Source organism: Homo sapiens, chromosome 17 (assembly GCF_000001405.40).
Source record: "Homo sapiens chromosome 17, GRCh38.p14 Primary Assembly".
Classification (NCBI taxonomy): domain Eukaryota; kingdom Metazoa; phylum Chordata; class Mammalia; order Primates; family Hominidae; genus Homo; species Homo sapiens.
Genome location: NC_000017.11, coordinates 17,062,335 through 17,088,322, shown reverse-complemented (window position 1 = coordinate 17,088,322; position 25,988 = coordinate 17,062,335). Strand labels below are relative to the sequence as shown.

The 25,988-nt window shown below is 48.0% G+C and overlaps 1 protein-coding gene across 12 annotated transcripts in view, besides 3 other annotated features; it reads right to left on the bottom strand.

Annotated features, from left to right (window-relative positions):
• MPRIP (myosin phosphatase Rho interacting protein) overlaps window positions 1-25,988 on the bottom strand; it is a 150,187-nt gene that overhangs the window by 104,321 nt on the left and 19,878 nt on the right. For all 12 annotated transcript variants that reach the window (NM_001364716.4, XM_011523764.3, XM_011523766.3 and 9 more), the window contains exons 2-3: window positions 12,536-12,613; window positions 10,247-10,312 (exon numbers count right to left, since the gene is read on the bottom strand). In NM_001364716.4, coding sequence (NP_001351645.2) covers window positions 10,247-10,312; window positions 12,536-12,613 — 144 coding nt within the window. The remainder of the gene's footprint in view (window positions 1-10,246; window positions 10,313-12,535; window positions 12,614-25,988) is intronic.
• Window positions 53-554: an enhancer, noted in NCBI's record as "H3K4me1 hESC enhancer chr17:16991083-16991584 (GRCh37/hg19 assembly coordinates)". NCBI's record gives its function as "activates a minimal SCP1, AML or CMV promoter by ChIP-STARR-seq in naive H9 embryonic stem cells {active_cell/tissue: H9 hESC(naive)}" and the evidence as "EXISTENCE:reporter gene assay evidence [ECO:0000049][PMID:30033119]".
• Window positions 15,117-15,643: an enhancer, noted in NCBI's record as "H3K27ac-H3K4me1 hESC enhancer chr17:16975994-16976520 (GRCh37/hg19 assembly coordinates)". NCBI's record gives its function as "activates a minimal SCP1, AML or CMV promoter by ChIP-STARR-seq in primed H9 embryonic stem cells {active_cell/tissue: H9 hESC(primed)}" and the evidence as "EXISTENCE:reporter gene assay evidence [ECO:0000049][PMID:30033119]".
• Window positions 15,644-16,169: an enhancer, noted in NCBI's record as "H3K27ac-H3K4me1 hESC enhancer chr17:16975468-16975993 (GRCh37/hg19 assembly coordinates)". NCBI's record gives its function as "activates a minimal SCP1, AML or CMV promoter by ChIP-STARR-seq in primed H9 embryonic stem cells {active_cell/tissue: H9 hESC(primed)}" and the evidence as "EXISTENCE:reporter gene assay evidence [ECO:0000049][PMID:30033119]".

Here is a 25,988-nt window from a genome sequence, read left to right as displayed (position 1 = left end):
CCGTCACAGCTGCTGCAGAGAAGTCCACCCACAGCTCTGAAGATAGACCAGCAAGGGTGCCAATCACAGCCCATCTTCCTGGCTGCCTCCCCAGTGCGGGGTGTGGGCCACAGAAACCCCTTTACCCTCACGACAGCTCTCGCCGCTCCCATCACCTTCCATCACTGAAAGAGCTGTGCACATGGCAAAAGTCTGAACAGAGAGCACCTAAGTGGATAACCAGGTGGAACCCCTCTTCAGCCCCTTGATAATCAATTGTGGGTGGCCAGCAGTCACTCCACTCAGGCAACACAGGGAAGGCAGAGAGAGAATGTGGGTATCTCATTATAGCCCTGAACACAGGCTGGCAGCTAATTCCCATTTTGTGTCCTTGACTCACCACTTATGTAACAGGAAGGTAAGCGCACGGGACAGTCCTGATGAGACAGAAAGGCACTCACTGGGCACCTGAGGTCACCAAATCCTCTCAGTGCGGCCTGAGATTCAAAGAAGGGGGACTTTTGGGAGTGGCCTACCTGAAATCTTTACATCAGAAACTCAAGCAAGAAAGAGCTGGGGAGGACAGCTGCCTGATTCGCCAGCCAACCAACATGTGCCCTGTCTACGCAGGCAGACACCAGTGCTGCCTAGAGGCGCTCACCGTCCTGTAGAGGGAGATCCTCGTGGAAGTTAAGGGCAAGGTGCTCCGCATGCTCTGACAGGTGTCCTCGGGTTAGGAACACAGGGAGGACTCGCGTCTGGCCAGGGCCAACCTGTGTCTTCTCTTGGCTCTCCAGAATGACCCAGGGTGACCTGCAGAGCCCTCTCAGTACCTGCAGAGGTCCCTTCCTCTGATCCTCTTTGCCTGCTCACTCTGGCACGTTCTGCTCCAACTTCTTCCCTCTACAGGGCTCAGCCATCCACGTATGACTCCAACACTGGAGGTACAGAACATCTAATACTGGAGGCACAGAACATTCAAACTGCCCCACACACTTCCCTCTCCCTCTTTCCTTCCCTGAAGGGCAACTCCCAGGCTCTAAGTCGGGACAGGAGATCCAGGGACCCGGCTGCTTGTCCACATCTGTGGTTCAGTCACTCCCTCCCCCTCCCCCTAGCTAAGCTTCCTCACTACAAAATGGAAGGTCTGGATCAGGTCACAGTGGGAACCCCCAACTGTCACCCTCAGGAGTTGGCTGTTTTTGGTCCACACAGTCCCATGATTAACCTTTGCTGGCTTCCATTCCCTGATTCTTTCAGTGTGGGAAATGTCACTTGGGCCTCTGGGCAGAGGTGCAAACAACAAGAAAGCTCCCAAAGGCAGAACCTGCCCCTGCCTAACAGTTCCGGGTCCAAGAGACTTATAAGACTGGGTCCCAAGCCCTTCCCGGACCTGTCATTAGCTCTTCTCCCCCAACCTCCCAACTATGACAAAAGGAAGGGAGGGGGCTTAAAGCTCAGCCTCCAGTTTCCAGAGAACATCCATCTTGAAGCTCCCACGGAGGTACAGAGAATGCTCCGACCTCTACGTGCTCCACTCAAATGGGTGAACTTTCATGAGTCACCGTAAATTACACTTCAGGGAAAAAAAGTGGGTGTCACTTGTCAGCAAACAGCTCTGAGCTTCCCTTATGACCCCTACCCTCTACTTTCACAGCACTTAGGAAGCGTTTCCATCCTACCTGGGTTCACCTGCACCCAGACCTGGCTCACTCACCTTTAGTGTTTCAAAATAACTTAAATCTGGCCACAGATGCTCTAAGGCAAAGTGGCCTACAGGAAGCTCAGTCGAGCAGGGCCCTCCCTGCCCCACTTATTATCCCACCAACTCCCTGCTGCTGAAAAGAGCATCGCACAGACTCCACCGCACTGGTTCAGACCTCATCTTCCAGCCAAGAATCTACCTTCCTTCATTAAGGAATTCATTGTTACAAATAGGCAACATCTCAATTGTCATGACCAAATCAAGACGGGATGGGGACTCATCTAAGGCTCTGTGTCCTGAAAAGTCAAGTCGGGTGGAGGGCAGGGGTAAAAAATCCTCAACACCCTGGAAGAACCTTCTCAACACCCTTGGCTTGTCTTCAATTTCTGGAATCTCGTGGCCATGCCAGCCCTGAAAGCCAATGGACTGTGCTCCGGACCCAGCCGCTTCTCCTTGTGAACACAAGCCTCCGTGTGCCTGAGAGTTCACCTATAAACATGGGCACTGCTCATTCACCAGTCACCACTGGCAAAGAGCTTGAAGACATTGACTACTTTGGGAAATCTTTAAAAAATAAATTTATTCATTTGGAAAAATTATCAAATGATTGCACAAGAAGAGGTGCCTTTCCTGAACAGGTCTGTGATCTGGGCCTCTGGGCACCTGGATAATTCCGCAGAGAAGGAGGTTGGTCCGGTCTGGTCAGTGTGTATTCCTTTTTGTTTTGAGACAGAGTCTCACTCTGCTGCCCAGGCTGGAGTGCAGTGGCGTGATCTCAGCTCACTGCAAGCTCTGCCTCCCGGGATCATGCCATTCTCCTGCCTCAGCCTCCAGAGTAGCTGGGAGTACAGGCACCCGCCACCATGCCTGGCTAATTTTTTTGTATTTTTAGTAGAGATGGGGTTTCACCGTGTTAGCTAGATGGTCTCGATCTCCTGACCTCGTGATCTGCTCGCCTCGGCCTCCCAAAGTGCTGGGATTACAGGCGTGAGCCACCACACCCAGCCGTCAGTGTGTATTCTTTTCTGCAGCTGCCAGGGGCAGGGGTTGTTGATGAGGGAGGGGTCAGAAATATTCCAAAACTTCAAATAAAGCAGCACCTGACTGTATACATTTTAAAACTTGTATTAAGACTCCGTGCAGAATTCCACTTAAAGACCGAAGTCTCTCAACCAAAAGTCTGAAAGCACCTAGGGACCCCGCGGGAATGCGATGCATGGGGAGGGCCTGCGGGGGCTACCTCCCCCATTAACAGCCCCTCATACCTTGCTCGTGGGGCTCATGTAAAGATGAAAACACACCCGAGTCCAAAGTTGTTTTTTTAAATGATCTGATTCTGAAAACACACAGCACAGAAATAGAAATGAGCAGCTGAGCAGAGGAGGAAAGAACACAGGGCTTCCTGTGGTCCGAATAGCCCGGGAGGTGCCTACACAGGGAGAGAGGGCCTGGGTGACCCCACAGTTACTGACCCCACTCCAACAAGCCCTCCCTAAGGTACTTGGGCTCCACGCACCACACAACAGGACCTGCCTCCTTTCCCTTGCGACCAGGACCTCAGCACAAAGGCCAGGGCAAGGCTGAAACATGACAGATTTAAAGCTAAACCTGAAAGTATAAGACTGACCCATAAAACATCTTCCCCGGTTCCCTGTCTTGCCCCTTCCTGTCCTTTAAACATGAAGGGCCTCCAGGCCTAAGGAAGCTTCTCTGCCTCTCAGACAGTTACAGGCTCTATGTTCTTATTGTTCTGATTTCTGTAAATCTCTCTGAATATATATTCATATGCCCATGTAGCAAAGAAGGCAGGTGGACCCTACAGCGTTGCAGGCCTGCAGCTAGCTTGGTTCAATGGCATTAATAAAGACACAGGTCAGCTACTATAGTTGGGTCAGTCTGCAGCAACAGACAAACCAGAGGGTCAGGAAGGACACTGAGAGCCCTGCCTGGCCTCCAGCAAGCCCTATTTTCCACCCGCACGAGGCAGCAGGTGCTGGTGGAGCGGCCTCTCTGAATGTGAAGGACAAGATCACTTGGTGAAGGAAAGACACCATCCCTCTCTCAGCAGGAGTCTGCCTTGCCTACACATCAAGGTCTGTCACTCATTAGTTGAGCCACCTCGCAATCTCTCTGGGCCTCAGTCTTTTCAACTGTGAAATGGACATGGTATCTACCATTGTGAGAAGTAGGATAGAGAATGGGCAGAAAGTGCCAGCAAGGAGCCCCGGCCGGGCACATGGCTCCTCCCGAATCTCTGTGATGAGCGAAAAGGCAGCCAAGTGCCACCTGTCTCCTCCCAGAAGACTTCTCTGCCTCCCCAACCACCCACCGCCTTTAAGAGCCTACACATCATGGTTCTGCTAGGGATTTAGTCTGCATATGTTCATGTGGGTCCTGAAAGGTATGAGCTTCACCACAGAAGAGGCCTTCCATGGCCTAGTGTCCTCTCAACCGCTCTGTTACGGACACAGCAGCCACTATGGTTCCCAAAGAATCAGATGCCCGGGAGGTGCCTCAGCACCAAGGAGGAGCAGATGGTTCCTCTCGCCTGCCTGGGAAAGCTCCGAGCTAGAGGAAACAAAGTCAGAGCTTGAAGCAGCAGTTCTCAAATGGAGTGGTTAGAAATCACATGGACTCTGGGAGGCCGAGGCGGGCGGATCACGAGGTCAGGAGATCGAGACCATCCTGGCTAACACGATGAAACCGTTTCTACTAAAAATGCAAAAAATTAGCCGGGCATGGTGGCGCGGGCCTGTAGTTCCAGCTACTCGGGAGGCTGAAGCAGGAGAATCACTTGAACCCGGGAGACGGAGGTTGCAGTGAGCCAAGATCACGCCACTGCACTCCAGCCTGGCGACAGAGTGAGACTCCATCTCAAAAACAAACAAACAAACAAAAACAAAAACAACAACAAAAAAACACACAAAGTGGTTATTTAAACTGGTTTCCCAGCCTCGCCCTGCAGATTCTGATGCAGGGCAACATCTGCAAAAAAATGGCTTAGGGAGCAATGGGAACTGGGCGGTCAGCTGCAGAAAAGGGAGAGAAACCTCAAATGATAGATCCTAAAGACAGCAGGGCTCAGCGGTAATGCCCCTCCTCCTAGGCTCTCACAGGCCTAGGCAACGTTGGGCTGCTCATGGCTTTAATACCACCAAAAATTGCAGAAATTTGTCAAGAGTGAGGTGAGCAGAGGTCCCAAGAACAAGGCAACCTCCTGGACACTCTCCTATAGGAAGCAAACTCAAAATAAACCAGAATCCTAACCTGTCTGCACCTGGAGTGCTCTGAAGATCCTTTGGACCAAGCCTGTTTACTTTATACACAAGTACACAGGCACCCCAAATTAATTTCTCAGGCTGGAACTTCACATCTTACGGGACTGACAAACTCCCAGGTTGCCCCTGAAAAAGGCACATATCCAAGAGCTAGAAGTGTTTTCTCTACTATGTCCGAGGATGTGAGCTGAGATTATGAGTCCTTAGCACAGCCCCTACACAGTCAGGCAGCTCTCATCTCTCGTGATGCTCAAGGACTCTCCAGGCTAGGATGGAGCAGAGCTCCACACCATGGAGGCCGGCCCTCAGCACCATGCCTGCCACAGAAGGTGGCCTCAGTCTCTCCATGGCTTCCATGTGTGAGAGGCTTGGGGTCAGCAGACATGGTCCAAGATCATCAGACCTACCACAATCAGGAGGGAGGAAATTCTGACACCAACCAGGATGATCTTTCAGGACCTTATGCTGAGTGAAATACACCAGTCACAAAGGACAAACACTGCATGATCCCATTTATGTGAGGTGCTGGAGGAGTCAAATTCATAGAGACAGAGAATAGCATGGGGGTTTCCAGGGGCTGGGGAAGGGAGTTATAGTTCAATGGGTGCACAGTTCAGTTAGCAAGTTGAAAAGGGTCCTGGAGAGAGACCGGTGGTGGTGGTTGTGCAACAATGTGAATGTACTTAATGCCACTGAACTGCACACTTAAAAACGATTAAGATGGTGAATTTCCAGTGTACTTACCACAGTTAAAAACATTCGAACAGACCGGGCACGGTGGCTCATGCCTGTAATCCCAGCACTTTGGGAGGCCGAGGCGGGCGGATCACCTGAGGTCTGGAGTTCAAGACCAGCCTGTCCAGCATGAAGAAACCCCATCTCTACTAAAAATACAAAATTAGCTGGGCATGGTGGCCCATGCCTGTAATCCCAGCTACTCCGGAGGCTGAGGCAGGATAATGGTTTGAACCTGGGAGTCGGAGGTTGCTGTGAGCCGAGACTGCGCCATTGCACTCCAGCCTGGGCAACAAGAGCGAAACTCCGTCTCAAAAAAAAAAAAAAAAAAAAAAAAAAATTGGAAAAAGCATTTGATCAGCTTTTTGCCTTGGAGAGCAGGCCCTTGAGAATCCCAAAGCCTCATGGCCTGGCCTGCTCCACCCTAAACTCCTGGCGCTCCCACTCTCCTTCTAGACCTGGAGCTCCTCCCAAGAGCCTTCTAGTGATGTCTGGTGACATCCACACCTCAGCTCGACATCAGTCCCCAAAAACTTGGTGACAGAATTAGGTAAAATCATGGGCAGCACTTTACAGGTGGAGAAACAAAGGCAGAGGACAGAGGCAGCAATCTGGGTTTCTAGATTGTTGCTTTGTCCACTCCTGAAAAACCAGGGGCCCAGCCAAATCTCTCAGGCTTTTACTTGTCTGTGAGGCTGCCCGGACCCCACCTCACCTCAGCCTGCATTTGAGAAATTTCTTTTCCTTTTTCGGGAAATTTGCCTCTCCTCCACACCCACCAGTTACAGGGTACGTGGGTGTATCGAGAAAGAAATTTCCCAAAAAAGGAAAAGAGATTCCCCAAAGTTAGCCCCATCTCAGGGCTGCCTGGAGAGGCAATGGTCAGCTTCCGGAACTGGATGAAGTCCAGCAGCCCCAGCCCCAGCAGAAGTCCCCGAGCAGAAAGGGCTTCCCGAAGCCACTGTCCCCAGATCCAGGGACTGCTGCTGCCTTCCTCCCTCTCCTGCACGCTGTGACCTCCTGATGTCCACCTTCCTCTCCAGGTCCCAACCCAGTGGGGCTGAGGTAACCGAATTTTCCCCATCCCAGTTATCTGGAGCTCTTGGGAGGTTTTCTCCCTTCTGCTGAGTAATCCCTAAAGGTCACTACATTGCTAATCTCCCTCCGAGGAACACCCCTTTTCCTATCTTCTCTCTTTTCCTACCCGCCCTGTCTTAAGGTTTTCAAGCTGGGAGCAGAAATTACGCAGCAAGGCATTTACAAAGTTGGTAGTTCAACTCCACACATATTTACAGAACACCTGGCTAGATTTGTGCCGCCCAAACCCCATGCTAGACAATGGGGAGACACACCAAGAATTATCACGGGCCCAACAACAACAAGAAGTCAGTCTAGTTGGCAAGATAACACTCAAGCAAATGAAATCAAATGGTAACATCATATAAGTCAGTAACAATTCGAAATAGATGCTGATTGAGTGTGGAGGGCACAGACCAGCCATAAAATGCTATAGTTTATTATATGAGCCTGGGAGGGTCAGAGGTAGCCACGGGCTGCTTAGAGCTGCTGCTTTTGGAGACAAATGCCCAGGTAGGGATTGCTTTGCAACATCACGGTCTGAGGGCACCACGTAGGGAGTGCCACCTATGTGCTCCCTGGTACACACACACACAAGCAGTTCTGCAGGCCCTGTGGTTGCCTGGTGTGCAGGGGAACCCCGTAGACCTCTCTAGATCAGAAACAGGCCCACCCCATTCTACGACTGGCACTGCACCATCATCCCCCTCACTCCAGGAAATCTGACAGGTGAGTCCCGTGCTGTTTAAGAGCAGAGCTAATAGCAAATCACATTTACATTTTCATTTTTAAAAATAAATAAGAATTTAAATAAACCCCTGTCGAAACTGCTCAGTTTCTTGGCCTTGGCACTGTTGACATTTTGGGCTGGAGCCTTCCTTGTTCTGGGGGCTGTTCTGTGAAGGAGATTCAGTAGCATCCCTGGCCTCCACCCACTAGATGCCAGCAGCATTCCTGCCCCAGGTGTGACAATCAAGGATGACTCCAGACATGGCCAGTGGCCCTGGGAGGCATGACGCTGAGGACCACTGGTCTATTTCCAGGCACTCACAAAGGAAGCTTCCAGCTTGGCTGGAGTTTACCCACACATAAGCCTATCTGAAATGGAGTTTTCCTGCTCCAGGTCTCAGGATCCTGCCAGCCTGTTTGGGGTGGGACTCTCAGCTCAGGGCGGTTGACCGTTAAGCTGGAGCTCCTGGGCTACAGGCTGTCTGCTCACTCTGGGGAGTGGCTCTGAGGAGCAAACCCTGATGCAGAGCACTGGGTGCTAGAGAAATCTCTCCAGCCTCTGCCTCCTCCCACCTGGCTTCTACCCTAAGTGCCTCCTTGCAACCTTCCCCTGTGACCTTCCTGATACAACAGGGAAACCCCTCCACAGCCTCGGCTGGGCAAAGCAGTATTTACTGATGGGCTCACTGGGTCAGTTTCTCCAGCTCCCAGGTCATCTGCCAGAAAGCAGCCCGTGGCCCAAAACTCCCAGCTCTGGGCCTGCCCCCATGCCCTCTCTCAGTCCAAGTTTTCCCTGGGACTTCTTTCTTTCCCCACATCCCTGGCACAGTCCCACCTCTGCCTGAGCACTCCATGAAATAATACGCAACTCATATCCAGGTTGCTGGGAGACCACAGTGCACTGTGAAGTGTCGGTGCTCCTGGCTAAGCGGCCTCAATTATCCAGAAGCCGTGCCTGGGAGGCAGCATGTGCTCTGCACTTGTGCCAGCACCAAGGCGTCCCCAGAAGCTACCCTCTTTGTGCTTGTGCAACTGAGCCAGAGGGAATAATGGATTTTGCTGGACTTTAGTTAGACCTAAAGAAAGATTTCCTGACTGAAATTATCAGTCCCCAAGGAAACAGTGCAGGGAACTTTGTTTTTTTGGGATGGTTCATGACCCAGCCCAGCCTGAATGTAATCCAGTGACCTCTTGAGGCTCCTCTGATACTGTTAAGTCAATTGCAGGACTCAGCCAGTCAGTCAGCCACAGGGAGGCAAGATAAACCTCACAGCTGCAGGAGCCCAGCTCTGACCCCAGGGCTACTCCCTGTGTAAGGGCTAAGCCAGGAGAACACGAAGTGTGAAGTCTAATCCTCCAGGTCTGCTTTCTTGCCTCAAAGGAACGGAGTGTCCAAATGCTTTGTCTCCCTGCTCCTACTTCCAGCCAAGTCCACAATCGGTGCTCACCTCCAGTACACTACCCTGGAGCACAGACGTTCCCATAGCAAAAACCCCCTATGCTCTAATCATGATGTACAAATATGCTCACCGGAAAGAATGAAAAGGAAGACAATTCTTTTTAAGTAGGAACCAGTGAGGTGACAGTTGATACAGGATTATGGTACCATCCTCTTAATTCACCCCAGAAACAAAAGTAGAAAACATATCACATCACAAAGGTTAGGACTCGAGTACAAACACGCCCACTTCTGACCTTTGCACATGTGAGCTGTAATGACCACCCAAAAATCCCAGGCACCCCCGCCACCCCCTGCCGCAGTCTGGAAGGTACCTCTAGGGACAGTTATCTCCACTCATACTTCCAGAGTCTGTCTCGCCCCTGCAGCAAAGAAACAAACTCTGGGTAGGATAGGCAGGGGCTGCCTATTTTACATAGTGAGACTAGGCTTTCCAGGACAGTCCCAATTTTAAAATGCTGCACATATGGGCACACAAACATTCACCCACCAAGTGGAACTGGAAAAGGCGATCAAATCTCGCATCTTCAACCCTTTACAAAGTTTGGAATGCAGTCCTACTTTAGATTAATTAGGAGAGACTAATCTCCTTTAGAGAAAAAGTCAGGAGATAAAATGGGTGGAAAAAGAAAAGCCAGAAATTCCACCTAGTTGATTTTCAGGTTTGGCCTCTGGGGCAACAGCAGCAAACACTCATCCAGCCCAGGAAGCAACTGGAAAACCAGGGAGGTGGGGAGGAGGAAGAAGCCTGTCTGCCTGGTTTAGTGACCAGAAGAACGATGACCTTGTGACCAGGAGGCCTCTGAAGTCAGCTCGGAAAACTAAGCCAAGCTCAAATGAGACAAGCAAAACCAATTACAGTCGCAGAATTGACAGGCAACCCCAGGACTAGGTGCGTGAGCACATGTGCCAGCCCCAGGGCCAGCCCCTGCCCCACGCCCACAGGTCCACAGCCTGCACACGTGATCCAGGACTTTGCCCTTGCTTTCCCCTAACCAGGAGTGCTCCAGTGAAGTCCACACTATTAGCCTTCAACAGAAATGACTTCCTCCCTCACTTCTTCCTCTCACTCAAGACCACAGAAGATGATGTTTCAAACCAAAGGTCTGGGTTTTTAAAGCTGTCTCCAGCAGGTGCCACAAGTTCTTCAAAACATTCCACACTCCCAAACAGACACAAGCAGGAGCACATGGCTGCTGTGCTCTCACATGACAACGCAAGGGCACTGTAATGGAGGGACTTGGTGAAGGCTGGGGACAGGGAGTGGGCAAGGATAACACTTACCATCTCATCCAGGGCGTAGCGCAAGAGGCCGTGCTCGTAAAGGATGAAGAACCGTCGCTGCCATTTCTGCAACGGAGCACAAGGTGGGTGGTTAGGAGGATCTGGGTCCTGGCCCCAGAGCTTGGCTTCTGGAGTTCCCACGTCTGACAAGTCCATATCTAAGGAAGGTCACTCCACAGATTCCACTTCTGGGGCAGGTGGCAGGAAAAGAGGGACCCGAGGCACAAGAATGTTGATTCATCAGCCAGGACTGGGCTGGGAGACAGGCCCAAATCACATGAGTGATTGAGGCTTAATAAGAAGTCTTTTTTTTTTTTTTTTTTTAACACTTGGAAGCTCCTCAGGAGCAGAAACAACGTGTGGTTACCTTTTTGTATTCCTGATGGTGCTCAGCATAGAATGCATCACATGACATGTGTCAATATTTATTTGATGAATGATCTGACATGACATGGAATAATCCAGGAATGCCAAGGCATGGATTCACCACTTCTGAAAAAACCTGGGAAACTGCTACAAAAGGGGTTGTTCTGATGATCCACTGGCAAAGAGGAGGCACAAAAACAGCCAGGCTCCAGAATTCACTGAGGTGAAATGAGTTAATGAAAATCAAAACAGAGGAGCAGCAAGACCAGTGGAAATAACTCCAATATCCAAGGAGTGACCAACTGGCACAGATCATCCCCCGCTCTACTCTCCCTCCAAAAGCCAGACCACTGGGAAGTGTCCACGGCGGTCAGATGCCATCAGGAGCTGAAATGAAATGGACTATGCGGTGTATGTCTTCCTTTGTGTGGGGAGAAGGGACTTGTCCATAATGCGAGTCTGCTGGCCCAGGTCATGAATGACAGGCACAGCTCCCAGCCCCAAATCATCACAAGGGTCCATGACCTATTTTCAACATTTCAACAAGCCCAATCCAGCCTGGGCAGCATGGTGAAACCCCGTCTCTACAAAAAATACAAAAATTAGCTAGGCATGGTGATGCACGCCTGTAGCCCCAGCTACTCAGGAGGCTGAGGTAAGAGGATCACATGAACCTGGGAGGTCAAGACTGCACTGAATCGAGATCATGCCACTGCACTCCAGCCTGGGTGACAGAGCAAGACTCTGTTTCAAAAAAAAAAAAAAAAAAAAAAAGCAAAGAGCCCAACAATACTCAGAGTTTAACTGGCAGTGAGGCCACGTGAACTGACTATAAAAGCACATCTCTCTGCTTTGGGCCAGGGTTATCATTTATAAAAAGACTCCTGTCAGAGGCTGGAAATGGCAATTTTGTACAACCTTGATATAAAATAGGAAAGGGAACTACTCCCTGGAAACTGCAGCCCAGCTGGACCAGTGATGCCTGAGTTCTCCTGTCTGGGTGGCATGAACAGGGACTCAAAGGGCCTTGCAAAGAGGCCTTGTAGAGGGCTGGTCTATGCTGGGTGTGTAGAGGAGGCCACCTGAACATGTTTCCCAGGAACATTTCCAAGGGCCTTATGTGCAGCCTCTGAAATCAAAACCCATTCTAGAAGCAATCCCAAAGAACAGAGACACAATGCAAGGCCTGTGGGACCAGAATACACAGCCCAAGGCCCCTACTCCAAAGTGTAATATTCAGGGTGGGGAAAGGATGAGCAGCAGAAACTAAGAAGAAGAGGAAAGGGAGCTCCCGGGGATGGAGGGGGCTGAGTGGAAGCAATTTATAGGGTGCAAGCGGCAGCACTGTAAGAAAGTTTGTGAGGAAGGAGAGTTTTGTAACCGGAGTCAAATCCAGAGGGGCTTCCTGGCAGAGAAACAAACCACAGGTCAGGCCAATGATGGTCCCAGCTCTAGCGGGGCCCTGCCCTGGGCAATGCACATTTTAGTAAGAGGTAAGCCAAGGCCTCTGGGCCCCCAACCCTTCACTAGTGCTAGTGTGCTGAACCCCTGGCTCAGGAAGAAGGGAGGTGCTACAGGGGCAGGCCTTGGCATGGAAGGAATTGGGAGCTGCTCGGTATAATGCAAACCTTTAACTGCTCTTTTGCCTCTTCCATTTTACTGTTCCTAGAGTCAACCTGACCCACAAAACAGGCAACACCCACATGAGAGCTCCTCATTCTGAAGGGAGCACTACACACAACTATGTATAATTGAGACCTTTTCTGTACAACGTACAAGTGCACCAAATGGGGGAGCCCTGCTGGTCCTGCTATCCCAGGATCCACTGTTCAACTCTCCATCTCCCTCTTCCACTCTGCCAGTTCACCCTTAGATGGGTCCCTTCTCTGGTTCCTCCCTGAGAGTTGGCTCTGATGCCCTTACCCGAGACCGGTGCACTGGGTTGTCAAAGTCGGTCCCATCTGGAGCCAGGAGCAGCCAACCGCCATAAATGGGTTTTGCCTAGAGGAGAAAAAAGAGGGCAGGTCACCAGCAGCCTTCAACCCAGAAGAGAGAACAGGTCAAGTTAACAGCAAGCACTCGCTGGAAACAGATGTTGCCTCTGCTCTGCAGAGGTCATGACACCTATTTCCACTGCGGTGCGTCTGCAGCTGCTTGAGAGTCAGAGGCTGGCGGGGATTCTGCAGCATCCGGGGTGGAGAGCATACAGGCCCTGGCAGGAGTGTGAGAACCTGGAGAGTACAGGATCCCCTAAGACATGCTGTCTCCTGCAAGTTACTGATCAAGCCACCAAGATCAGGAAAAAATGACATGTTATTCAACAAATATGTGAGTGTCAGTGTGTGCCAGGCGCCAGGAAATAGGACATGAACAACACAGTCAAAAAGCTTCATCCTGAAGATACAAAACAGGGCCTGGAGAAGAGACTGCTTTCGTGATCAAAGCCAGCTCTGGCCAAAGAATCATCAACTGACTGGCTGTGTGACTGCGTGCAGAAACTCTTTGAGTTCAAACTCTCCCATTTGAAAAGTGAGAGTGATGACAATTCTACCTAAACCTCATGACTCTGATGTGAGGACTGATGAGATAATGCAATCAGTAAAACCCAGCACAGGGATGTAAAACGGTGCTGCCACCTTGGAAAAGTCTGGCAGTTCCTCAGAAAGTTAAAGGCAGAGTTACCCTAGGGCCCAGCAATTTCACCCCTATGTATACACACCCAAGAAAACGGAAAACAGGGGCTCAAATAAATACCTGCACATGAATGTTCATAGCAGTATTATTCACACCTGCCAAAAGGTGGTAACAGCCCAAATATCCATGGACAGATGAATAGATGAACAAAGTGTGATGGGTCCACACAAGGGAACATTATTCAGCCAGAAAAAGGAATGAAGCACTAACATACACCACAACACCGAGGAACCCCGAAAACATGATGCTAAGTCAAAGAAGCCAGGCACAAAAGCCCACATATTACAGAATTCCACTTATGCAAATGGTCCAGAATAGGCAAATCCACAGCACAGAAAGCAGATTAGTGGTCGCCAGGGACTGGAGGAAAGGAAATAAGGAGAGACAGCTAACAGGTATGGGGTTTCTTTCGTGGGTGACTAAAATATTCTAGAATTAGACAGTGGAGATGGTTGCACAACATTGTAAATATGCTAAAACTCACCAAACTGTATACTTTAAGAGAGTGAATCTTAAGATATGTGAATTATAGCTCAACTTAAAAAGCTGCACAAAGAACACTGAGCACAGTGTCTGGCCTGTGAGGTCTCAACAAATGTGAGGCACTGCTATATTTTACCAGCCACAGAGTCCCCACTCCCCAGACCACGGGAGGAGCTCAACAAGGGGAATCTAGACAGACACTCTGGCTCAATCTCCTTCCTCAGCCACACCCAGCTGGCGAGAATGCATTGGAAAAGGTACAACCAGTCCCATTTATCCAGTGCCTTTCGGAGGGCGGTAACACAAATTAAAACCCAAGTTCTCTGACTGCTGCTTACACACACAGGACCCCTCATGGGTCCTCCTGATGTGCTTTTTATTCAGTGCTCTCCAAACTAGGAGGCCCCACCACACTACCTCATTTGGTAGCTGCAGACCGTGACTCAGAGAGGGCAGGCCACGTGCCAGAGGCCACACAGCCTCCAGGCTGAACCAAGAACCCCCCTTTACTTGGCTTCCGCCTGCAGGGTCCTCAAGGTCCCCAGGAGCACTGGCTTTCCCCATGAATGGTGCAAGTGGAGCTGTGTGCCTGGGGTCGGGGGAAAGCTGCAAGGACAGGAGAGGCTTGCTTTGCTGCAACAGGGGAGTGGGTGTTGGCTGCAGACATAGTCCAGGAGGGCCAAGGAGTATGTGGTGGAAATCCCACCTGGGAAGGCAGAAGCAAAGGCGAGGAGAGGTCTGTGCTCTCTACGAACTCCAGCTGTGCCCAGCAAACCTCAAGGTGGGCACACACGCTCGGCCTCTCCACACCCCACCCAGGAGTGCACATCCTAAGCAGACCCCACCCAGAGGCCTTGCATGGGAAAGCCGGAGCTGGACAACTCCCTGTGTGTATCTGGACTCTGTGACTCCCAGCTCGGCCTCTCACCGGCCACAAGTGCCCACCTGTGAGGCCAGAGGCTAGCCTGCCAAGCCATTCCTCTATCTCCATCTTGACTATGCGCCACCACCCTGGCCTCTGGAGGCAGGGCTTGGGGTGTCATCACATAATCAGCTACATTTACCTGACCTTTCTCCAGGAGGAACTGTGGGGAGCCAAGGGATCAGCATCTGTTCCCTCAGAACCCGAGCCCTGGTCTCAACCCAGGCATCGTCAGCAAACCTCTGCTCAGGAACCCCGTGTGCATGGCCCTGGGTGCTGTATACCAGGGAGCCTGCAGCAGCCACTTTGCTTGGCTGTGACTTCCTGATATGGATCACCACAGAGGGGACTGATGCAGGTGGGCGGGCGGCGCAGACACAGAGCAGAGAGCGAGATGTAGGGCCTCTGGGTGGAGGAGCAGGCTGGGATGCAGGTGACACCCCACCCAGCGTTCATCAAAGCAATTCCAGAGTGATAGAGAGCAGAGGAGTGGCTGCCTGGGGCTGGGACGGCGGAAGGGGTTGGTGACAGCCAAGAGGTGCAGGGTTTCTTTTGGCGATGATGTAATGTTCTAAAAGTGACTGTGATGATGGCTGCACATCAGTTGGAATATCCTAAAAATCATAGAATTGTATCATTTAAATGGGTTAAACGTATGACGTGTGAATTTTATCTTAATAAAGCTATTAAAAAAAAGCCCTGAAGGTAAGGACCCCATAGATAACAGGGGGAGGCCTGGGGTGGAGAGGACTCTCTGGGCAGGGGCGCAGCTGATGCACAGGTGCAGAGGCAGGAATGATGGCGCCATGGGGCCATGAGGAGCCATCTGTAATTACTGAGAACTCACTCCTCAAGTCCAGGGAGCCAGGGACAGGAACTGGCCAGCTATATCACCACCACTCTTGCCTCTCACAGCCAGCCACGTGGGCTGCGCAGCCTCCCCCAGCCTCCTCAGCTCCCCAAAACCTGGCCCTCTCTACCATCCCTCAGGGCTTCCCCGAAATGTCCCTTCCTCAAGGGGACAGTCCTGACCCTCCCCCTCAGTCTCTAACAACTCACTTCTGCCATTACCGTCACTGCACATCACAGAACTAATTTCTACCTACCATTTCATTATGTACGTAATTACATTGCTATGACATGTCTTGCCCCCCACCCCCACCCCAGAACCTTCGCTCCAGGAAGGCAGGGATGGGGTCTGCCTAGCCCTGGCTGTGTCCTTGATCCTGAGGCAGGTGTGCAGAGGGAGTGGAGGTGAGTGCCCACCGGCCTAGGCCAGCAGTGGGTGGGTGGTGCCCTCTCTGAGTTACCTTCTCCTTACATAACCTAGGTCCTGACTCAGACAACCTGTCCTCATCCCCAAGGCGTGGGAAAGGCCTCCCAGGAAGAGCTGCTGCTTCTCTATGTCTCAGACTATCTAAAACTGCTGCATCCTCCCCCGCACAGCAGACCACAGTGTCTTTAAGTGCAGCAATGCCCACGGGCAGAGGCTCCCACGCACGCCCACCTGGTCCTGGGGCAGCACCTCTAAAAGGCCCTAAAGTATTCTCTTCCAGACGGTCCTATAATAATCTGAAACTGGGACACTAAAACAGACAGCCCAAAAGGCAGCAGGCAGGAGGGAGTGTGCTCTGGAAATGCTGCGTGGGTAGGCTTAGCTTTGCTGTTTTCTGGTTGAGCTGCTGGGCATTTTGGAGGGAGGCAGGAGAAGCAGGTATCTGTTGTTGACATGGGGGATCTGAGCTGGGCTGTAAGGACCCAAAGGATGGGGCCCGAGTCCTGTTTCAAGCAGCCCTGCACACAGGGCCCCTTTCTATGCAGGTCCTCCCAGAGGATGCATGTGGCTCCGGATCCCATATAAAAGTGACCACATGAGAGACTCCCCCGAGCTACCTCCTCTCCAATTAAACTCGGCCTTCACTCATGACCCACACAAGTCGGAGGCTCCACTTCTGGCTGGCCTCTAGGAAGAGGCTGCTGGTGGTCTGGGTGTGCCTTCAACCTGAAGCTCTTTCAAAAACAGTGCCTTGAAACTTCTGCTTCCTGGACGATGGGGCAGATGTAGATTTCTCCTGCTAAGTACAACCAAAAACCTGGGGCCATCATGTATAAGACAAACATGAGAAGACTCTGAAAGGTGGAGAAAAAAAGGTAAGTGGGCCAGGGACCCAGGATCCAAGGAAGGACACCGTGGTGACTCTCCCAGGCTTTCTTTTTGTCTCACTATCCCAGAGTGGGTACTGGAGAAACTGGCAACCTGAAAACGCCAATGGGCACACAACCAAAAAAAACAACAACAAAAAGCTACTTTCCATAGCTGAAGAACCAGAAAGGAGCAGCCCAACAAGACAGAAAACTCTTAGACAAGAACCGCCTTACTCTGGCCAAAAGTCACAGGAAAGGCAGCACCCCACCCCCAAGTGAGCAAAGGTTGGACTTCCACCCTTGTGAGGTGCCCCACACCCCGGCCAGGGTGGTGTCAGAAGACACAAGGGCCTTACATCCCACCAACAGCAACGAGGACCCTTCTTGCTCCATGCTAGGGTGTGTCAGAGGGCGCCCAGAGGAGGGTCAGGGTTTTTACCATTGCCCAGTGGGAAGGGAACCCATGATGAGGAGCCTCCCAGTTCAGGCATCAGTGGAGGCCGAGGGATGGACTTCTGTCTCCATCTAAGTAACCAGGTGGTCATGGTGACTCCCTTCCCCCACGGAAGCACTGTCAGAAAAATCCACTGAAAGAGAAGGTTCAAATGAGACCCAGAGTCACCCAACAGAATACAAAAACACTTGGTTTCCACCAAAAATCATCATCATACCAAGAACCAGGAAGGTCACAAACTGAATGAACAAAGACAACCAAGAAATGCCAACACCAAGATGACAGCCATGCTAGAATTATCCCACATTTAAAGATTTTAAAGCACCCATGATAAAATGCTTCAACAAGAAATTATGAGCACACTTGAATTAAAGGGAAAGACAGCAAAGAAATAGAAGCTGTAAGAACCAAACAAAAATCCTGAAATTGAAAAATACGGTAACTGAAATAAAAGCTCCCGGGTGGGCTTAAGAGCAGAAGGATTGGGGGCAATGAAAGAATCAGTGAACTGGAACACAGAACAACAGAAATCATCCCATCTAATAACAGAGGAAAAACAGACAGGAAAAAATGAATAAATAAAAGGGAACTGTGGAACTGTAACAAGAAGTCTAACATTCATGTCATCAGAGTCTCTGCAGGATAGGAGGAAGGGTGAAGCGGAAAAAGGGCTCAAAGAATGGCTAGAAACCTCCCAAATTTGGCAAAAGTGGCAACCTACACATTCAAGAAGTTTAGTGAACATCAAAGGATAAACCCAAAGAAATCCAGACCAAGACATACAATAACTAAACTAAAGAAAAACCTAAAAGACAAAGAAAGCCAGAGAAAAAAAATCTCAAAAGCAGCCAGAGAAAAATAAGACCTTATAGTTTTGAGAAAACTAAGCAGAATGACAATAGATTTCTTATCAGGAACCATGGAGACCAGAAGGAAGTGGCACACTACTTTTCTGGTGCTGAAAGAAAACACCTGTCAACCTAGAATCCTATAACCAGTAAAAATATCCTTCAGGAATGAAAGGGAAATCCAGACCTTCTCAGATGAAGGAAAACTAAGAGAAGTTTTTTGCTGACTTACCCCTAGCAAAATGGCCAAAGGAAGTTTTCTAAACAAAAAGGAAATCATAGAAGAAGGAATCCTGGAACATCTGAAAGGAAGAAAGAACACAGTAAAATAAAGGGAGGGAGGGGGTAAATAATTAGGCTTTCCTTCTCTTGAGTTTTCTGTTTCGTGACTAAAGCAAAAACTGTCTAATGTGGTTCTAAACGTATGTGAAGTAAACACTTAAGACAATTATACAAGGAAAAGGTAAAGGAGTGAACAGACAGGTACTCTCTTGAACTGGTAAAATGACACCACCAAGAGACTGTGACAAGTTATGTCTATATAAAGTCACGTCTTATTATAACCAGTAAAAAATATATACAAAGAGATACACTTAAAAAACTATATTTTGATATATAAATCAAAATACAATTCTAAAGAAAATGTTCAAGTAACCCAAAGGAAGCAGGAAAAAAAAAAAAGCAAAACAAAACAGAAATAATAACCAGAGACGCATTAACTATGCCCTAAGTTATCCGTAAATATTTTAAATGTAAATGATCTAAATACACCAATTAAAAGATTGATAGAGTAGATTTTTAAAATAATTCAACTGTACACTGTCTACAAAAAATTCACTGCAAATATAATGATGACAGGCAGGTTGAAAAGAAAAAACTAAAAGTGATACATCCTGAAAATATTAATCTAAGGAGAGCAGAGTTGTTATGTTATCAGATAAATTATATTTCAGCACAAAGAAAATGACCAGAGACAAAGAGGAATATTATATAATGATAAAAGGGTCAATTCACTGAGACATAGTGAGCCTAAATGTTCATGCACCTTTAAACATCAGAGCTGCAAAATTATGTGAAGTTAAAACTAATAGAACTAAAAGGAAAAATAAATAAATCCACAAATATTGTTGGAGACTTCAACATCCCTCTCAATAACACAATTAAAGCAGTCCTAGGAGGGAACTAACGTAACTATGATGCTCACATTAGAAAAGAGGAAAGGTCTCAAATAAATAATCTAAGCTTCTATCTCAAGAACCTAGAAAAATAAGTACAAAATATATCAAAAGCAAGAAAAAGAAGGAAATAATAAAAGATAAAAGTAGAAATCGGGCTGGGCGCAGTGGCTCACACCTGTAATCCCAGCACTATGGGATTACAGACCGAGGCAAGCAGATCACAAGGTCAGGAGTTTGAGACCAGCCTGGCCAACACAGTGAAACCCCATCTCTACTAAAAATACAAAAATTAGCTGGGTGTGGTGGCACACACCTGTAGTCCCAGCTACTCAGGAGGCTGAGGCAGGAGAATTGCCTGAAACCGGGAGGCGGAGGTTGCAGTGAGCCAAGACTGTAACACTGCACTCCAGCATGGGCAACAGAGTGAGACTTCGTCTCAAAAAGAAAAAAAAAAAAAGATAAAGGTAGAAATCAATGAAAAAATCAGTGAAACAAAGAGCTGGTTCTTTGAACAGACTGATAAAACTGATCAACTTCAGCCAGGCGCGGTGGTTCATGCCTGTAATTCCAGCACTTTGGGAGGCCGAGGTGGGCAGATCACCTGAGGTCAGGAGTTCGAGACCAGCCTGACCAACATGAAGAAACCCCGTCTCTACTAAAAATATAAAATTAGCCGGGCGTAGTGGAGCATGCCTGTAATCCCAGCTACTCTGGAGGCTGAGGCAGCAGAATCGCTTGAACCTGGGAGGCAGAGGTTGCAGTGAGCCGAGATCGCTCCACTGCATTCCAGCCTGGGCAACAAGAGCGAAACTTCATCTCAAAAAACAAAAAACAAAACAAAAAAACACTGCTGACAAGACCAAAAAAGAAAAAAAAAGACATAATGGCACAAATTGTTATCAGAAATAAAACAGGGATAGCATCACAGATTCTGCAGACATCAAAGGGATAATGAGGAATACTAATACAATTCTACCAACACTAATTTGACAACATATAGGAAATGGACCCACTTCTCTAAAAAACACATAATTTAAATGATTATATAACTATTAAGGAAATTGAATATGTAATTCCATAACTCACAAAAAAGAAATCTCCAAGCCCAGATGGTTTTACTGGAGATTTCTAACAAGTGTTTAAGGAACTGACACTAATTCTATATAATTGTTAAAAAAAAAAAAAAAAAAAAAAAAGGAAGAAGAAGAAGAAGAAGAAACACTTTCCAATTCATTTTATGAAGCTGGTGTTACCCTGACACCAAAACCAAACAAATTACATGACAAAACCCCAAAATTTTTTAAAAATGAAATAAAGAACTATGGACTAATATTCCTCATTAATACACAGTAGTTCCCCCCTCCTCCATCCACAGTTCCACGGTTTCCCTTACCCACGGTCAACCACAGCCTTAAAATATTAAATGGAAAATTCCTGAAATAATTTACAGGTTTTAAACTGCATGCCATTCTGAGTAGTGTGATGAAATCTTGCATCGTCCTGCTCCATCTTCCCAGGATGTGGAGCCTCCCCTTTGTCCAGCGCATCCACGCTGTATACTCTACCTGCCCCTTAGTCACTTAGTAGCTGTCAGTTATCAGATGGACTGTGGTGGTGTTGCAGTGCTTGTGCATCCAGCTAGTATTATACATAATGGCCCCAAAGCACAAGAGTAGTGATGACAGCAATTTGAATATGCCAAAGAGAAGCCATAAAGTGCTTCCTTTAAGGGAAATGGTAAAAGTTTTCAATTTAAGAAAAAAAATCATATGCTGAGGTTGCTAAGATGTACAGTAAGAATAAATCTTCTATCGCTGAAATTGAGAAAGAAAAAGAAATTCATGCTAATTTTTCTATCACACCTCGAACTGCAAATGTTACAGCCCTTGTGCGTGATGAAGTGCCCAGGTAAGATAGAAAAAGTATTTATGGCTGGGTGTGGTGGCTCACACCTGTAATTCCAGCATTTGGGAGGCTGAAGCAGGAGGATGGCATGAAGCCAGGAGTTTGAGACCAGCCTGGGAACTACAAGACCCTGTTTCTACCAAAAAAAAATTATTAATAGCTAGGTGTGGTGGCAAGTGCTGGCAGAGGCCCAGCTACGTGGGAGGCTGAGGCATGAGGATCACTTGAGCCCAGGAATTCAAGGTTGCAGTGAGCTATGCTTTTACCACTACACTCCGGCCTGGGCAACAGGGCAGGGCAAGACACTGTCTCAAAAAAAAAAAAAAAAAAAAAAAAAAAAAAAAAAAAAAAAAAAAAAGATGAAAAAAGTATCTGTGGGTTTGACATGAGGGGATATCTAGGTTGTTTCCAATCAAAAATGAGTTCCAACTGAAAGCAATCAGGTTCAGTACTATCCGTGGTTTGAGGAATCCACTGGGGCTGTTGGAATGTATCTCTTGCAAATAAAGGGGGACTGCTATAGATGCAAAAATCAACAAAATATTAGTAAATAGAATTCAGCAATATATTTATAGAATTATAAACCATGACCAAGGGGGTTTATTCCAGGGATGCCGGTTTAATATTCAAAAATCAACCAATGTAATCCACCAAATTAATGCTCTACAGAAGAAAAGCCACATGGTCCTATCAACTGATGCAGAAAAAGCATTTGACAAAATCCAACATCCATTCATAATTATTTTTAAAAACCTCTCAGAAAGTAGGAATAGAGGGGAACTTGCTCAATTTCATAAAAGCATCTCTAAATAACCTCCAGCTAGCATTACACATAATGGGGAAATGCTGATTGCTTTCCCTCTAATATCAGGAACTAGGCAATGATGGCCATCTCAGAATTCTTATTCAACATAGTGCGCGAATTTCTAGCTAGTGCAGTAAGGCAGGAAAAGGAAATAAAAGGCATATAGATCAAAACTGACAAAATAAAATATTCACAGATGACATAGCTGTCTGTATAGAAAATCCCAGAATCTACAAAAAACTCCTAGAACTAGTGAGTTCAACAAAGTTTCAGGATACAGGATCAGCATACAAAAATCAATTGTATCTCTATATGCTAGCAACGGACACGTGGACATCAAAATTAAAATACAATACCACTTAAAATTGCTTCAAAAAAAAGAAATACTTAGGTGTATATACCACACAATATGTACAGGAAATGCTGAACACTACACAACACTGATGAGAGAAATCAAAGAAGATCTAAATAAGAGAGACATAATGTGTTCGTGGACTGCAAGATTCTAAGATGTCTATTCTCACCCAACTGATATTCAGTTTAACACAATTCCCATCAAAATCCCAGCAAGACTTTTTATAGATATGGACAAGATTATTCTAAAATTTACATGGAAAGGCAAATGAACTAGAATATTTTTAATTTAAAAAAAAAAGAGGGTATAATCTATTTACCCAATCACAAGACTTATTATATATCCACAGTAATGAAGACTGTGTGGTATTGGTGGAAAGTCAGACACATGGATCAATGGAACAGTAGTTAGTAATAAACCAACACAAATATGCCCAATTTTGACAAAGGTGCAGAAAGAATTCAATGGAGGAAATACAGTCTTTCAACAAATGGTGCTAGAGTGACCCTTCGTCCACAGGCAAAAAAAAAAAAAAAAAAATCATCTCAAGCTGATACAGAAAGTAGTGTTATACAAAAAACAAGACAAAATGAAACATATTTAAATGGATAAACTGGACTTCATTAAAATTAAAAACTTTTGCTCTGCACAAAGTCCTAAGGAAGATGAAAAGATAAGCCACGAAGTAGGATAAAATATTTTGCAAATGTCCTTTTGCAAAGGACTAATATCTAGACTATATACTAGTATTTAGACTATATAAAGACCCTCAAACTCAATAGTGAAAACACAAAACAATCCAATTAGAATATGAGCAAAAGACACGAGAAGACTTTCTACAGAAGATAAATAGCATGAAGAGGTGTTCATGCTATTTATGAACATCTTATTTTATAATGGCTAAAAAAAACAAATGGTGACAACACCAAATGCTGGCAACGTCACAAAGTAAGTATATCTATCACTCATACACTGCTGGTGTGAGACAGTTTGGCAGTTTTTAAAAAAACTAAACATGCAACTACCTACAACCTAGGAACTGCACTCCTGGATATTTATTCCAGGGAATGAAAACATACACTCACACAAAAACTACATGTGAATGGTTATAGCAGCTTTGTTCGTAGCAGACCAAAACTGGAAACAGCCTAGGTGTCCCCTCTTACCATGGAATGCGAGTCAGCAATAAAAAGGAGCAAACTACTGATCCAAGCAACAACCTGGATGAATAGCCAGAGAATTCTAGGTGAAAAAAGCCAATCTCAAAGGTTCCAGGTTGTATGATTTTCTTCACATAACATTCTTGAAATGTCAGATTTATGGAAATGGAGCAGGATTCCTGGGTGGCTGGGGTTGGGTTGATGTGGGAGGGAGAAGGCGATGGAGACACTGGGTGCTTTCTGCATTGTAGTCAGTATCCCAGCCGTGGTGCCGTACCACAGTGTTGCAGAAGGTCACCATCGGAGGACCTGGGCAAAGGGGTACATGGGATCTCTGTTATTTGTTACAACCACAGGGGAAACACGATTATCTCAACGTAAGTAGTTTAATAAAAAAGGAAAAACAGTGGCACGCACCTGTAGTCCCAGCTACTTGGGACGCCGAGGCAGGAGAATCGCTTCAACCCAGGAAGCGGAGGTTGCAGTGAGCCGAGATTGCGCCACTGCACCCCAGCCTGGGCAACAGAGATAGACTCCATCTCAAAAAAAAAAAAACAAAACAAAAAAAACCGAAAAACAAAACTCAGCCACTGTGGCCTCTGCAGTCAGTCCTCAGGGGTCTACAGGGTATGGCCACGGGCCTTCTTCAGTGACGCCTGCCTGCCATGGCCCTGAGCTGCACCGCGTATGCTCTGCTGGCCTCTCCAACTACTTCCCTGGAGGCCACCCACATCCCTTCTCTCAAGGGTTCTTCTGTCCCTTCCCCTCACCACCCTCCCCAGGCAAATCTGGGATGCATGCCAGGATGAACCCAGCTGTCTCAACTCTGGGTTGCCCAACTGCCCCAAGCGGGTGGCCAGGGGCAAGGGACAGAGAAACATCTCAGCCTACTATACCCAGTGTTGTCAAGCTGCCACCACTGATGCGTCTCAGACGTGCACAGGTCTCTGGACACAGCCACCCCATCACAACCAGCCCACACAACATGCTTGGCTCTCACTCCGTGTGGCCTGTTTGTGGCTCCAAGAGAAGGGAACAGTCGGTGACAAGATCTCTAACGGTGGTTAACCCAGGTTTCCTGTCCCCTTGGACTCACCTGTCCTTAGACTGCAGTGGGTGGGGAGAAAGGTAGTCAGACATATTGCGCAATCCGGCACCAAAGAGGGCAGGCCTCAAACAGTCGATGCAGACAGGTGGGTCTCACTCTTCTCACCCCATCACATCCTGCCACCCAGAAGGCCCTCTATGGTCCCATGCCCCCTCACCTCCCATACACAAACATCTTCTATTCCATGGAATAAGGAGATTCACTGTCTCATACACAGACCCCTCAAAATCCCACACCTCCTTCAAGAACACTAACCGGCTCCAGGCCAAATGTATTCCTTCTCTCTCACAACACCACATCTCCTCGCTGGGGACAAGAATCCTGCCTCATCCAGTGAAGCACCCAGTACAAAGTTGGGCTCCAATGACCAAATAAATAAACACAAGTCTACAGGTACACTTATTAGTCACCCCCACCCAGCTGAAAAGGTAACTGCTCCCTAACAGCTCTGAGTGCTGCTGGAAGGCCCTCCCAGCCAAGACCTGGGCAAGCCAGGCTGCACTGCACCTCTGCCTCCCACACCTGAGCTCCCAGGTCACTAGGACAACGCTGGTCAGCACCCAGGAGTGAGGGACGATCAGCACTGAGGCGCAAGTAGACACAAGCCAGGGCCTGCCCCCGCACATGGCTGAATCCAACTTGTACTTCTCCTTTCTCGAGTCCAAGTCTCCAGTTGTGCCACTGTGTGCACTATGCCACCAAGGACAAGAGACAGGGTGTGGACAAAGCTGGCACTCAGACAGCAGCACACGGCCACATGCAAGAGCCACGATGCTTCCACACTCCTGATACAGTGAGCCCATGTCCAGAGCCTGGGCCTGAAGAACTCACAAAGAGAGAAGCAAACAGTCTCATTCCTGATGTGGGAAGAGCTCAACACCCAACAGAGAAACAGTTTCGAGAGTGACTATACATCTACTCCCTAACACGCTACCTGGCCATTAATTACCAGCGAGGACAAGGATTCAAGATGCCCTCCAGGGCACCGCCCACACTATCAACGCAGCTGGCCTGTCCTGCGCAGGCCTTCATGGCTCCGCTGCTCTGTCCGCTGGTGAACGGCACCCCCTGGAAGTGTGCAACAGAATTTCTCCAGCAGCTGCCCTGAAGCTGGCACCACTCAAGGCCCTGCAGATAAAAACATGAAGCACACACATCTCCCAAGGGGCTCGTGGTCAGTTCTGTTTATAACACATGTAAGGATGGACAAAGATTGAGAGTTGATGAGAAAACAGCTATTATGCGGACTGCCAAGATCAGCAGCAGGTTTGGGGGCTTTTGCTTGATTTTACCATTTTTGTAATGTAAATGCCACTACA